General features: G+C 36.9%; 1 protein-coding gene across 9 annotated transcripts in view; it reads left to right on the top strand.

Annotated features, from left to right (window-relative positions):
- CLEC2A (C-type lectin domain family 2 member A) overlaps window positions 1-16,282 on the top strand; it is a 54,629-nt gene that overhangs the window by 2,093 nt on the left and 36,254 nt on the right. For 6 of the 9 annotated variants that reach the window (XR_007063076.1, XR_007063074.1, XR_007063075.1 and 3 more), the window contains exons 2-4: window positions 3,935-4,018; window positions 8,046-8,212; window positions 13,475-13,578. Coding sequence is in view for 6 of the 9 variants with exons in the window: in XM_011520657.3 (XP_011518959.1) it covers window positions 3,935-4,018; window positions 8,046-8,212; window positions 13,475-13,578 (355 nt within the window). In the remaining 3 variants the exon portion in view is untranslated. The remainder of the gene's footprint in view (window positions 1-3,934; window positions 4,019-8,045; window positions 8,213-13,474; window positions 13,579-16,282) is intronic. The other 3 variants (XM_047428830.1, XM_047428829.1, XM_011520654.3) reach the window with 2 other exon arrangements.

Here is a 16,282-nt window from a genome sequence, read left to right as displayed (position 1 = left end):
AGTGTCTTTACCACGTTAAAATTAGGTCGGTAGGTTGGGACCTAATTTAATATTACTGGTGTTCTCATAAAAAAGGAAAATTTAGAGACGGATCCATATACAGGGAGAATGCCATCTTCAAGCCAAGGAGAATGGCCTGGAACAGATTCTTTCCTTACAGGCCTCACAAGGAACCCATCCGACCAACATCTTAATTTCAGACTTCTTGTCTCCAGAACTGTACGACAATACATTCCTGTTAATTTTAGCCGCCCAGTTTGTGACAACTTGTTACGGCAGGCCTAGCAAACTAAAACACTAATGCGCTTATAAATATTAAAAAAAGAAGGTAGAGGTCTAAAAAATATAAAATGCCAAAATGTAATGAGAAGAAATAAATAATTATAGAATTATAGAAATTAAAAATAAATACATTGAAAAGGCAACTAAAATAGAGTAATCTACTGATCTTTCAAGAAATAGCTAATTTTTGTATTGGACATCTTGCTTCAAAAAACAGCAAAATGAGAAATTTACCCCGATTTAATAGACTTTTTGATTTCCAAACAAAGTCAGAACAAGACAAAAAGAAACAGACTCATCTTCTTATGAAATTAGAAGTAGAAATTCCAAGAAAATATTTATTTACTATATACAACAAAGCAGTTAAAAATTCATATACAAGTGGATTTATGTTAGGAATGCTTAGATATCAGAATATCAGTGCAAAAAATATTAAAATTTTTTGAAAGAAAGTCCACACAATTATTCAGTAAGTGCATTTGATAACAACAAGGAAACATGATAACATTCAATGTCTATCTGAGATAAGTCCCTGTTAAGAAACTAGGAATAGAAAAATTCTTTTTTAAATTGCTAATGTTGTATGTTAAATTTATACAGCATTTTTACAGTGCTTAATAATGAAAATTTAAACATTCCATTTAAGATTAAAAACAAGAAAAAAATGTTCACTGTAACTACTACTGTTTAGCAATAGTGTAGTACAATGCTAAAGGTAACCAGTGATATAAGAAAACAAAAGGAATTATAAAGGACAAGGATTGCAATGGAAGAGTTGTATCTGCAATATTTTCAGATAATTTGATTATATAAAAATAAATACCAATAGAATCAACTAGAAAACTATTAAAAATAATACCAGAGTTCAAGAGGGTTACTTAAAAGAGCACATTTAACAAATCAATACTATTTCTGTATACTAGAAGTGTTGTTTTTATTTAGTTTTCTCAGCTTTTTTTTTGTTGTCACTGTGAGAACAGTAGGGATGACTTCCAATCTATTGCAAATATCACATGCCAGAACAGGAATGAAGGACATATATTTTAATTAAAAATAAAAACTGCTAAAGAATTTTCCAAAACACTTATACATTTTTGTACTTCAACCAGTTGTGTATGTGTTTCGGTTCCCCTATATCCTGCTAACACTTGGTGCTGTCAGTCTTTTTCATTTTAACAGTGCAAGTGGCATGTAGTCATATTCCATTGTGGTTTTATTCTGCATTTTGCTTGTGACTAATAATATGGAACATCTTTTATGTGCTTATTGCTCACTTGCGTGTATTCTTCTGTAAGTATTTGTTCAAGACTTTGGTTCTTTTTTTTATCAAGTTGTTTGTACTATATCTCTAAACTACAGACCTTTTAGTATTTTCGATACCAGTCTTTTTTGCATACACATATTGTGACTATTTTCTCCCAGTCTGTAACTTGCATATTTATATTCACAACAGTGTCTTGTATCTTGAAATGGGCAGAGGTTTCTTTCTTTCTTTCTTTCCTTCTTCTTTCTTTCTTTCTTTTTCTTTTTTAAGACAGAGCCTCACTCTGTCACCCAGGCTGGAGTGCAGTGGCATAATTCTGATCACTGCAGCCTCCGCCTCCTGGGTTCAAGTATTCTCCTGCCTCAACCTCCCGAGTAGCTGGGATTACAGGTGCCTGCCATCATGCACAGCTAATTTTTTGTGTTTTTAGTAGAGAAGGGGTCTCACCATGTTGGCCAGGCTGGTCTCAAATTCCTGACCTCAGGTGATCCACCCTCCTTGGCCTCCCAAAGTGCTGGGATTACAGGCATGAGCCACTGTGCCCAGCCCTTAAATTTCAATTAAATTCAATTTATCATTTTCTTTTAATTTTACACTGTACTTTCTCTTCTTTCTCTAAGACAGCTTTACTAATTCTCATGGTCACAAACTATTTTATGTTTTCTAGAAATTGTATGGTTTCAGGTTTTATGTTCAGGTCAATAATACGTCTTAAATAAATTTTGTAAGCTGATGTTGTCGTATGGTAAAGCCTTTTTTTCTCAATTGTTTCAATACCTTTTGTGTAAGACATGGCTTTGCCCACAAATTACTATTTTGGGTGTCTGAAATTTGTGCAGTGGTTTTTATCTTTTCTTCTTCCTTGTTCTTCATTTCTCCCTAATCTTGAAAAAAAAAACACATTTTATGTTTTCTATCTTTAGCTATTGTTTCTCTAGATGTAAGATAAATTACCAAACTCTTCTTCCTATCAAACATTCTCTTTGTAAACATCTCAGAATCTGGCTTCTCTCAATCCAGTCTTGAAATTACTTTATTGCACATTATCTGTAGTCTGGTGATCATGAAAACTAGTAACTTTTTCAAGTTTTCATTCACTAAGGCTGCTTTAAGTTCTGAAGAAAGAGAGAAAACATGACTTCTTTTTAAATTTTTCTTTCTTCAAGTCCTCTTTTCTGATATTTAAATATATGTATGTATATGTACATGTATATATACATACATATAAAGCATATATATGCATATAGGCATGCATACATATATATAATCTGTGTTTATGCATATATGCACGATATACACATATAGTCATGCACCATAGAACAATGTTTTGGTCAATGACAGATTGCATAACAACAATGGTCCCATAAGATTACAATGAAGCTGCCTTGTAAAGGTGTACCATTTTTGATCTTTTATATGGTATTTTCACTGTACCTTTTCTATGTTTAGACGCAAGCATTTAGCATTGTGTTATAATTGCCTGCAGTAATTAGTACGATAACATGCTATCCAGTTTTGTAGTCTAGGAGCAACAGTCTGTAATATATAGCCTAGGTGTTAGTAGGCTATACTGTCTAAGTTTGTGTAAGTACATTCTATGATGTTCCAACAATGACACAATCACCTAAAGGCACATTTCTCAAAATATCTCCCCATTGCTAAGCTATGCATGACTGTACACACACACACACAGACACACACATACACGCACATTCTTCCTAGATTGTTTCTACATCTACTAATGATATATCAGCTACAATTACTTTATCATTAATAGAATTATTATTTGTTCTTAACCTCATAGCATTTCCACGAGTGTCAAATCCTGAGTTTTCTCTAATTTTGTTTGCTTACCACAAATAAATAAATTACTGCTTTTATCTTGAATATTCTCTGGCTGAAACACATTGTTTATTTCCTCCATGGCTTAAAGAATAAAGAAAAATATATCTCTCATTTAAGGTCTTCTGTCATGACCTTATGACTCCTTTCTTTCCTGTCTTTAATCCTATTGCCTTATATATCTGTTATAAACATTTGCTCTAATCGTGGACCTTTTGATGATCTTTATGCCTTTTTGCTTAAAATCCCCCATTCAAACTATTTCTACCTTTTAAGTAAACTTTCCTTTCCTTTCCTTCCTCATTCCCCCAAAACTCAGTGATTTCTCCACTCACCACTCTCTCGAGCCGAACAGCTATAGCAATCATTTTTTGGTACTTATCTTCCTTGCACTTTTTGATGGTTTGCTATCCTTTGTTATTTTGAGATGTATGTACTTGATTGAGGGTTTCCTGATTAACAATTATAGGAGAGGAATACACCAGTAATAATATCGAGTCAGTGTTTATTCAGAAATTGTAAAATATGTGTTGATTTAATTTGCAGTTCCCAAGTTGATACAAAACTGGAAGATTGGCCTTATGTGCTTCCTGAGTATTATTATTACTACAGTTTGCATTATTATGATAGGTGAGTGGTTTAATTCATACACTTTCTATGGTTCTTCACTCCTGAAGGGTCCATGTATATCTCAAGTTTAACTCCAAATCTCCCACATCTAGAGTGATTAAAGGGTTTTATAGACACTTGTCCTCAAATTTTTACCAGTTCAACAGTTTTTACCATAATCCTTGCCTCTCCCCCAAACACTCTCAGTTTTACAATAGAATTATGTTCTTGACTTTATAGTCCTTGATGCTTAAGAAAAATAATCTTAAATTCTTAGATGACCACCAGATGGCAACAGCAATAGCGATGTTACTGAAATGCCAGGGGTTCAGTCTAGGTCCCATTGCTCAGGGCACAGAAAGCCAATCCCGGAGACAATGACTATTCCCGAATTAGGGAGGGGTAGGGAAGAAGAGTTGGTCAACAGGGAGCAGGTGGTCGGTTAGACAATCATGGCAGTGAGGAGTCCCTTGTCTGGAAGTGGTGATCTGGTGACTTTCGGTTTCCTGTTACTATCTGAGAGGACTAAAGGTCAGATTCCTAAAGAATGAACTCAAATAAGACAAATGTAAGTTTCAAGTTTTAAAACTAGGAGGATCAATTTCTATATTTATAAAAAAAAATCCCACATAAACATCAGTTCTATGGGCTTGTTACAGATAATTTTCTTTTTTAGAGTTTGTGAATTAGTGAGCTAATGTTAAATACACTATGCTCTGCTATTTGTATTTAATCCTCATTAGACTAGGATACAGGTATAAGAAAATCCATTTACAGATAAAAAATATACAGGACAGAATGAGTAAGTTGCCTCTCACAAATAATACATTCCAGACCTAGGATCAAACACCTTGGCTGTATAACTCTAATGCTTGATAAATTTTAAAAACCATGCAGCTTGACCTTCATAATTGTAGCATTCCTTTAATTTCTTTTTAATCAAGAGTAAGTTATGTCACTAATAGTTTGTTCTATAAAACTTTATTTATTTCTATTAGTTGGAATGCAAAATCTTACCTCTACCCGCTCAGGGTTTTTCTGCGGGCCTGAGAATGAAATTGACACAAGACACATCAACTTGAGCAAAGCACATGCGTTTAGTTAATATAAGTTTGACGTGACATGCACGTCTTCCTTATGAAAGCCTAAAGATGCAGGTAGAGTTGAACACTTATATATTGAATTCAACAAAGGGTAATAAATTATGAAAATGTGGCAAGGCAAAGAGGTTTGATCTAGGGTAATTAATTGGGTAGAAAAGTGACCGGAAAGATAAATGTTAAATTAACAAATGTTGTTTGCACACATTTCCTTTGGCCTCAACTACCTATCCTTGACTATAAGAATGTTGCTTTCCTTCTGGTATAGAGAAGATATCTTTCACAAAGGTATTTTATCTCCTGCTTATAAGAAAAATAAGGAAGCTCAGAGTGTTTTCTCTTGCATCTGCTGTTTTAAAAGTGCGTTTAACTCAAAAGAGTCTATATGCCTGAGTGACATATTTCGGGGCATCATGTTCTGAACTCCTTCACTATCATATTAAGTTAAATGAAAAAAAACAAAGAAATAACGGCATATGTGACCTTTTGCAAGACTGTCTCATTGGAATTGCAATATTTGTAAAAATGAAGTTGTTAAATTTCCTCTGGGTTCTATGGGTTTATTTTGTGAAAAAGATCCAAAGGTAGAATTTAATTCCTGAGCCATGGCCAAATAGTCCCCAGCACTTGATTTTCCATATGCATGGTTTGCTTAATTTAGCACTTATATTTGGCTAAGTAGCACTGCTCTTTGTTTTGTTTTGGTTTGATTGGGTTGGGTTGGGTTGGGTTGGGTTGGGTTTCGGTCATTCTCAAGAATACTGATAGTCTTCTTGTTTATAGTCTCTACTGTCAGTGTAGTCTTAGAGCTTAATGTTATTGCTGTCTAAACATCTGGAAGTTAAATATAGACAAGAGTTTCTACAGTAAGTTTTTATGTTCATTTATTCATTGATTAAAAAGAGCAGAAAGACAAAAGAAGACATTTATGTGGCCAGTAAACATATAAAGAAAAGCTCATCATCACTGGTCAGTAGAGAAATGCAAATCAAAACCACATGAGATACCATCTCAGGCCAGTCAGTATGGCGATTATTATTTTTTCTTTTTTTCTTTTTTTTATTATTATACTTTAAGTTCTAGGGTACATGTGCACAATGTGCAGGTTTGTGTTACATATGTATACATGTGCCATGTTGGTGTGCTGCACCCATTAACTCGTCATTTACATTAGATATATCTCCTAATGCTATCCCTCCCCACTCTCCCAACCCCACGACAGGGGGGCTATCCCTCCCCACTCCCCCAACCCCAACATCACCCCAATGTGTGATATTCCCGTCCCTGTGTCCATGTGTTCTCATTGTTCAATTCCCACCTATGAGTGAGAACATGTGGTGTTTGGTTTTCTGTCCTTGCCATAGTTTGCTGAGAATGATGGTTTCCAGCTTCATCCATGTCCCTACAAAGGACATGAACTCATCCTTTTTTAAGGCTGCATAGTATTCCATGGTGTATATGTGCCACATTTTCTTAATCCAGTCTATCATTGATGGGCACTTGGTTTGGTTCCAAGTCTTTGCTATTGTGAATAGTGCCACAATAAACATACGTGTGTATGTGTCTTTATAGCAGCATGATTTATAATCCTTCGGGTATATACCCAGTAATGGAATGGCTGGGTCAAATGGTATTTCTAGTTCTAGATCCCTGAGGAATCGCCACACTGTCTTCCACAATGGTTGAACTAGTTTACAGTCCCACCAACAGTGTAAAAGTATTCCTATTTCTCCACATCCTCTCCAGCACCTGTTGTTTCCTGACTTTTTAATGATCACCATTCTAACTGGTGCGAGATGATATCTCATTGTGGTTTTGATTTGCATTTCTTTGATGGCCAGTGATGATGAGCGTTTTTTCCTGTGTCTGTTGGCTGCGTAAATGTCTTCTTTGAGAAGTGTCTGTTCATATCCTTCACCCACTTTTTGATGGGATTGTTTTTTTCTTGTAAATTTGTTTAAGTTCTTTGTAGATTCTGGATATTAGTCCTTTGTCAAATGGATAGATTGCAAAATACCTAATGCATGCGGGGCTTCAAACCTAGAAGATGGGTTGATAGGTGCAGCAAGCCACCATGGCACATGTATACCAACGTCACAAACCTGCACACTCTGCAGATTTATCCCAGAACTTAAAGTTTAACAAAACAAAACACAACAAAAAGAGCACAGAGACAGAGTTGAAACACATTATATCTTACACCCTGTGTAGTAGCCTGTATCCACTTCTGAGCACTACAAAATAATAATAATAATAATAAATCATGGTGGAGTAGGGGGTGCAGCCTTTGGAGTTTGCCCTACATTTGAGCATATAGTTGGCTCTTTATTACTTGCATTAATTTATTCAAACATGTGGAATGCATGGACTTGTCTTATTCTGAATACTTAGCACCTAAATAAAACCTTGAGACAGTAAATCTCCAAACAATGTGCTTTCATTATTATTCCATATTCTTCAGCACTGGATGTAAATGAAATGAAACAAAGGTTTCACTAATTCTTATGTTTCACTTATGTGTTGTCCTTTATGGCAAGTTTCACTTTCCTAGCTTGGGTGTTTTCATAGGTAAAGGAAAGCCTCCATTTCTTACCCTAACCTCGAAACCTAAATTACATGCAGATCTCCAGCACTCTACCTTGATTGCAGAATTTATAGCTACATTTTATGCATTGTTTTTGGCAGGATATTAATATAGATTATGAGAAGCTAGTGGTTCCATTTCTCAAAATAGAAGCCAGGGAAATAGAAAAAAGTATGCACTGCTTGATCACTAAATGATCTTCCTTACAGACAGGGGAAGTTAATTCATCCTCATTCTGGGGAGGGGGGAAGCTAACTTACGGGCCTCAAACTGTGGAAGCAAAAAGTAAAATTAATACACCTGAATGAGTAGAAACACTTTTTAACATATGCTTTATCTGATCATTTCTTTCTTTTTTTTTCAGCCACATGGTCCAAGCATGCTAAACCTGTGGCATGTTCAGGGGACTGGCTTGGAGTGAGAGATAAGTGTTTCTATTTTTCTGATGATACCAGAAATTGGACAGCCAGTAAAATATTTTGTAGTTTGCAGAAAGCAGAACTTGCTCAGATTGATACACAAGAAGACATGGTAAGAAAACAGAAAAGTCTTCAGTAATTTCAGAGATTGTTTGTATAAAAACATAATAAAACAATAATAGCTAATACTATAATACAATTGATCCTTGAACAACATGGGTTTGAACTGTGTGGGTTCACTTATACCTGGATTATTTTTCCTCTGCCACCCTTGAGACAGCAAGAGCAAACCCTCCTCTTCTTCCCCCTCCTCAGCCTACTCAATATGAAAACAACGAGGATGAAGACTTTTACGATGTCTTCACTTCCACTTAATGAATAGTAAATAGATTTTCTCTTTCTTGTGATTTTCTTAATAACATCTTCTTTTCTCTAGCTTCCTTTATGGTAATAATACAGCATATAATTCAAATAACATGAAAATATATGTTAATTTACTTTTATGTTACCAGTAAGACTTCCAGTCAACAGCAGGCTACTAGTGGCTAAGTTTTCTGTTTTTGTTTTTTGTTTGTTTGTTTGTTTGTTTTTAAGACAGAGTCTCACTCTGGCACCTAGGCTGGAGTGCAGTGGTGCAATCTCAGCTCACTGTAGCCTTGAATTCCTGGGATCAAGCAATCCTCCCACCTTAGCCTCCTGAGTAGCTGGGACTACAGGTGCAGACCACCACTCCTGGCTAATTTTGTTTATTTTTTGTAGAGATGAGGTCTCACTATGTTGTCCAGGCTGGTCTCAAACTGAGATCAAGCAATTCTACTGCCTCAGCCTCCCAAAGTGCTAGAATTAGCATGAGATACCATAAACAGCATGGTTAACTTTTTGAGGAGTCAAAAGTTATATACAGACTTTTGACTGCACAGGCGGTCAGTGCCCCTAACTGCCACATTGTTTGAGTCAACTGTGTATGACAATGTGTGCTCAACAGTGTTCTAAGCACTGAAACTATATAATCTCATGTAATCTTCTACTAACACCCATGAAGGAGTTATATAACTCTCCCTACTTTAAAGATGAGGAAAGTCAGTCACAGAAATGTTATGTAACCCAGCCAATGACACAGCCATAAGTTGTTGGGCTGGGATTTGAACCCAGGCAAGATGACTAGTGATGCCATGTCCTTTACCACAATGCATACTGTTTATGTATCTAAATGTCTTCGTTAAATGTTCTTAGATTATTAAGTAGATTTTTTAAACCCTTTTCAATTTGCATTCTACCAAGCATAGACAGAAAAAATTTTTAAAAATACAGCTCTTAGAATTTAGAGACAAGGAAATGAAGGAAATATGTGCACTTCGAAGACGCGAGTGAATTAATGGAAGTAAAGAGGGCAAAGAAGGAGACACGTGGACTCTAGGGACACAGAGTAAGAAAATAGATTAGTTTTTAAAGAAAAGCTGGGGGTTGGAGAGTGGCCAAGATGGCCGACTAGAAGTAGCTGGAGTGCGCAGCTCTCAAAGAGAGGAACTGAAGGGGTGAGTAAATACAGCACTTTGAACTGAAACATCCAGGGTACACGCAATGGAACTAATCAAGGAAACAACTCAACCCATAGACAATGAAGAAAAGCAAGGCAGGTCGATGGCCAACCTGGGAACGACATGGAGCCAGGGGAACTCCCCTCGCCCAGGGAAGTGGTGAGTGAATGTGCAACCCCTGGAACCCATGCTGCTCCCATGGATCTTTGCAACCCTCGGGTCAGGAGATCCCCTTGTAAACCAACTCCACCGGGGCCTTCAGTCTGACACACAGAGCTAAGTGGAGCTTCAAAAGAGCAGCCTCTCAGGCATGTGCAGTGACCCGGGAGCCTCAGATAGCCAGGAGTTCCAGGCTTCCCAGCAAAAGTAGTTGAAACTCCAGCGAAGAGGGAGGTTAGACCCCCTTACACATCCCTAGTAAAGGGGCTGAATCCAGGAGGCTGAGCAGCGACATTCTGCAGGACCCACTTCCATGGCATCTCACAGGATAGGACCCACTGGCTTGGAGTTCTAGCCAGCCATCAATAACAGCATTGCACCTCCCTGAAACAGCTCCCAGAGGGAGATGTGGGCAGCCATCTTTGCTGTTTGGGTGACTTAGCCATCCAGCCTTCAGGCTTTGGAGAGTCCAAGTTGACCAGGGGTGGAAGTGGTCCCCCAGCACGGCACAGCTGCTCTACAAAAAAGTGGCCAGACTGCCCTTGTAAGTGGGTACCCAATCCCATTCCTCCTCACTGGGCAGGATCTCTAACCAGGGTCTTTAGCTGCCTCCTACAGGTGTTCTTGGGCCGGTAATAGCTATGTACCTCCCTGGCACAGAGCTCACAGAGGGAGGGGCAGGCCACCTTCTTTGCTGTTTTGTAGGCTTCACTGTTGGTACCTACAGGTATCAGAAAATCCGAGGTAAATAGGGACTGGAGATGGCCACCAGCATACCACAGCAGCCCTATGATAAAGTGGCCAGACTGTTACATGAGTGCCCATCTCCTTGTCTCCTCACCAGGAGGGTCCTCCAGGCCTGGGCCTCCAGCCCCCCTCGCAAGCGCTATTGAGCCAGTAGCAGCTCTGGAATGTCTTAGAGAGAGCCTCCAGGGGCAACAGGAAACCTCTCTGCCACTGCCTCTGCACTGGAACTGCCCTTGCTGCCCTCAGACTAATGAAGGAGCAAAGACCCTAAGTCTCTCATCCACACCTCCAACAAGTTGCAGGAGAGGAGGCCAGTCCATCTCCACAGGCTCTGCTCACCCACCTTGCTCATCACCAGACATGGAACCTCCAGCTTGGGCCCACAGCAGAGACCCTCCATCCTGGGCTGATTGCACTGAATGATTGCTTACTTGCATCTCTCTGGAGTGAAGCTCCCAGGAGAAAAGCAAAAGACCATTGGCTTTAACCACTACTAAGGTCTCTTCCATTGCTGCCTCCAAGTTGGGGAAGAAACATAAACACTGAGATCACCCAAGAGCTGCAGTGGGCAGCCTAGAATTGCCAAGTCACAATCTATAGCCAGCACTCAAGTGGGAGAGAAACCCACATTTTCAGAACATTGAGAGAGAACATGGCTGCAACTGTGAGGAAAAGTAAGGGAGTCACACAATGGATCAAGAGTCTCCCAACTGACAAATACGTCCAAGCGCAACCTACTGGATCACACCTCAAATCTTCAACACCAAAAATATCTCACTAACATAACCCCCTCTAAAATTAAAGAAGTCACCTTCAAATAAAGACCCTGCACAAAGCTTCAGCCCTATGAAAACAAACAGAAAAGAGATCTATCGACTGTACTAAATATACACTGCAGTTAAATTGACACCCACTGCAGAGATGAGACAGAATTAATGCAAGAACTCCAGTAACTCAAATAGTCAGAGTGTCATATGTTTTCCAAACAACTGCACCAGTTCTCCAACAAGAGTTCTTAACGAGGCTGAACTGGCTGGAATGGCATTGAACTGACAGAAATTCAATGCTATTCCTGTCAAACTACCAATGATATTCTTCATGAAATTAGAAAGAAAAAACTATTTTAAAATTCATATGGAATCATAAAAGAGCCCAAATTGCCAAGGCAATCCTAAGCAAAAAGAATAAAGCTAGGAGCATCATGTTACCTGACTGCAAACTATACTACAGGGCTACAGTAACCAAAACAGCATGGTACTGGTACAAAAACAGGCACATAGACCAGTGGAACAGAATAGAGAGCCCAGAAATAAGGACACACACCTACGACCATCTGATCTTTGACAAAGCTGACAAAAACAAGCAATAGGAAAAGAACTCCATATTTAATCAATTGTGCTGGAATAACTGGCTAGCCATATGCAAAGGATTGAAGCAAGACTCCTTCCTTATACCATATACAAAAATCAACTCAGGATGGATTAAAGACCTAAATGTAAAACCCCAAACTATAAAAAGACTGGAAGAAAACCTAGGCAATACCATCCTGGACATTGAAACAGGCAAATTTCATGACAAAGACAACAAAAGCAATAGTAAAAAAAAATGCAAAAATTGACAAATATTATCTAATTAAACTTAAGAGTTTCTGCACAGCAAAAGAAACTATTAACACAGTAAACAGACAAACTACAGAATGGGAGAAAACTTTTGCAAGCTATGCATCTGTCAAAGTCTAACATCAGCATCTCTAAGGAACTTAAAACAAATTTACAAGAGAAAAACAACCCTATTAAAATTGGGCAAAGGGCATAAAGAGACCCTTTTTAAAAGAAGACATACATTTCACCAACAAACATGAAAAAAAGCTCAACATCACTGATCATTAGAGAAGTGCACATTAAAACCACAACGAGATATCATCTCACACCAGTCAGAATGGATATTATTAAAAAGTCAAAAAACCACAAATGCTAGCAAGGTTGTAGAGAAAAGAACACTTATACACTATTGGTTGGAGTGAAAATAGTTCCACCATTGTGGAAAGCAGTGTGGCAATTCCTCAAAGAGCTAAAACCAGAACAACAATGGTTGCGGTGGTGTTTACGTGATTGACTTATGATTCTTTTGTTATGGATGAGTTAATTTTTAAATGACTTTTGTGAACTAATGAGTCTGTCTACTTTTATCTTTGATCTAGTACTGACATGTATATTTGGATTGGGTAAGACTCACTTTTAATTAGTTAATTGTTCTGTTTAACACAGAAGTTTGTTCAGTGCCTATGTAAATGATGTACATAAAACACTTTCCAGTCCTCTCCTATTGATCTCAATTAGCATATTGCCATAATTAACCCAGAACTATGTGATGGCAGATATGACAGATATAACTATTGGTTAGTGGGCTTAATACTTGGGTGATGAAATAATCTGTAAAACAAACCTTCATGACACAAGTCTACCTCTGTAACAAACCTTCACATATATCACAGAACCTAAAATAAAAGTTAAAAGAACAAAAAGCTAATGAAAGGTTTGTGGCTTAATAGCAAAAAGCCAATAGAGCAGTGACTAAAGCCATCACATAATAGATTTCATTGCAGTAAATTATATTTATATAGAAGTTAGTTTTATCTCTGATTATATGAAAAAACATACAATATCAGTGACATTCATACTAAAGGGTATCAATGACTTGGTTGTAGCCCAATTATCTGGAGATACTTAAGATGCAAAAAAGCAAAATGAAAATCTTTCTGATAAAACTAACCCAAACATCAACATCTGTGCTGTTTGTTGTTATAGAAGCATCAGGGAAGACAAATTAGAATGTGAATCCTAAAAGATAGAATAATTGGGGTGGGAAGCATGTTCAGCAATGTGCTGTAACATATTAAGTAATCGCTGATTCCCTTTGTTTTGTGAAAGGAATTTTTGAAGAGGTACGCAGGAACTGATATGCACTGGATTGGACTAAGCAGGAAACAAGGAGATTCTTGGAAATGGACAAATGGCACCACATTCAATGGTTGGTGAGTTTCCAATGTATTAGCAATGTTCTTATTCTGGTGTGTCATATGAAAAATTTTAAATCATTTTGAGTTGTATTATTATAAACAAATCTTTCTGTTTTCCATGTGGAATTAACTTTTCAGTCTCCAATCGATGACATATGCCCTTTCACATTGAAGCATATCCTAGAGCAACCCATTTTCTTCTCACCTTGTTAAATGACACATGGTGAAATCTTCCATTTTTATTTTTATTTGTTATTTTATCTTTATTATCAAGCTCTTGCTTGACAATTAGTTCTCTTTTGCTAATTCAAATTTAATCATTCTGCAAATTTTAAGCCAAAACTCACGTATTACTTGTACTTCTTTCCAAGTAAAGTGTATATAAGATTTCTTTGTCTTTAAAGGGTTAAAGACTTTATAGTTGTCTTTAACATTCCAAATGCCCACCACAATGAATACTACTTGTTTTTATTTATTTGTTGCTTATTTTATTTATTTTTATTTCTGTAAGCATTTCCTGGGTGGGTTAAAATTGTTAAAAGTGTTTCTTGGGTTAAAATGGTTGAGGATTGTATAGTTGTCTTTAGCTTTCCAAATGTTCATCATAAGCAATATTATATTTATTTTTTTAATTTTTGTTTATTTTTTATTTAGCTTACTTTTTTATTTATATAATTGTTTCTTGGATACATATGTATCTCTGCCTTATTATTTTAGTAACGTGCTAGATTAAAAAAAGCAACCAATAAAACAAATATTGAAATATGCAAGACAGGACAAATTATACTTATAAATAAGGAAAGATTTGTTTATCAACAAAGAAAATTAATTAAAAAATATATTTTTATTTTACTGTAAGTTCTGGGATACAAATGCAAAATGTGTAGGTTTGTTACATAGGTATGTGTGTGCCATGGTGGATTGTTGCACCTACCAATCCATCATCTAGGTTTGAAGCTCCACATGCATTAGCTGTTTGTCCTAATGCTCTTCCTCCCCTTTCTCCCACCCCCTACTGCCCCCAGTGTGTGTTGTTGCCCTTTCTGTGTCCATGTGTTCTCACTGTTCAACTCTCACTTATGAGTGAGAACATGCAGTGTTTGGTTTTCTGTTCCTGTGTTAGTTTGCTGAGGATGACAGTTTCCAGATTCATCCATGTCCCTGCAAAGAACATGGACTCATTCTTTTTTATGGTTGAACAGTATTCCATGGTGTATATGTACCACATTTTTTTTTAACCAGTCTATCTTTGATAGCCCTTTGGGTTGATTCCATGTTTTTGCTATTGTAAATAGTTCTGCAATAAACATATGTGTGCATATGTCTTTATAATAGAATTACTTATATTCCTTTGGGTATATATCCAGTAATGGGATTGCTGGGTTAAATGGTATTTCTGGTTCTAGATCCTTGAGGAATCACCACACTGTCTTCTACGATGGTTGAACTAATTTACACTCCCACCAGCAGTGTATAAGCATTCCTATCTCGCCACAGCCTCACCAGCATCTTTAGTTTTTTGACTTTTTAATAATTGCCATTCTGATTGGCATGAGATGGTATCTCATTATTGTTTTGATTTGCATTTCTCTAAAGATCAGTGACGTTGAGCTTTTTTTTTCAAATGTTTGTTGGCTGCATAAATGTCTTCTTTTGAGAGTTGTCTGTTCATATCCTTTGCCTACTTTTTGATGTTTTTTTTCTTATAAATTTATTTAAGTTCCTTGTAGATCCTGGATATTAGACCTTTGACAGATGGGTAGATTGCAAAAATTTTATCCCATTCTGTTAGTTGCTTGTTTACTCTGATGATAGTTTCTTTTGCTGTGCAGAAGCTCTTTAGTTTAATTAGATCCCATATGTCAGTTTTGGCTTTTGTTGCTTTTGACGTTTTCATCATGAAGTCTTTGCCCATGCCTATGTCCTGAATGATATTGCCTAGATTTTTTTCTAGGGGTTTTATGGTTTGGGGTTTTACATTTAAGTCTTTAATCCATCTTGAGTTAATTTTTGTATAAGGTGTAAGGAAGGGGTCCAGTTTCAGTTTTCTGTGTATGGATAGCCAGTTTTCCCAGCGCCATTTATTAAATAGAGAATCCTTCCCCCATTGCTTGTTTTTGTCAGGTTTGTCAAAGTTCAGATGGTTGTAGATGTGTGGCATTATTTCTGAGGTCTCTATTCTGTTCCATTGGTCTGTATGTCTGTTTTGGTACCAGTACCATGCTGTTTTGGTTACTGTAGCCTTGTAGCATGGTTTGAAGTCAGGTAGCATGATGCCTCCAGCTTTGCTCTTTTTGTTTAGGATTGTCTTGGCTATATGGGCTCTTTTTTGGTTTCATATGAAATTTAAAGTAGTTTTCTTCTAATTCTGTGGAGAATGTCAAAGGTAGTTTGATGGGTATTGCATTGGATCTTTAAATTACTTTGGGCAATATGGCCATTTTCACAATATTGATTCTTTCTATCCATGAGGATAAAATGTAAAAAAAAGACTATAAGCAGTCTCTTAGGTTTCTATTGCAGTATGCAGTCTCTTAGGTTTCTATTGCAGTATGTTTCAAAAGTACCAAGTAAATATAAATCTTATTTTTACTTTTTGAAAAAGTACATTGCCTAAAATTATGCCAGAAAACTGAATTTTTTTAATTTCAGGAATCTTTGAATTTGGCAAACACTCTCTCTTTGCATATAGATAGAAAGGAAAGAAAGAAGAAAGGAA

The sequence above is a fragment of the Homo sapiens genome, chromosome 12, assembly GCF_000001405.40.
Source record: "Homo sapiens chromosome 12, GRCh38.p14 Primary Assembly".
NCBI classification, from domain to species: Eukaryota; Metazoa; Chordata; class Mammalia; order Primates; family Hominidae; genus Homo; species Homo sapiens.
This window is presented reverse-complemented; position numbering and strand designations above follow the sequence as displayed.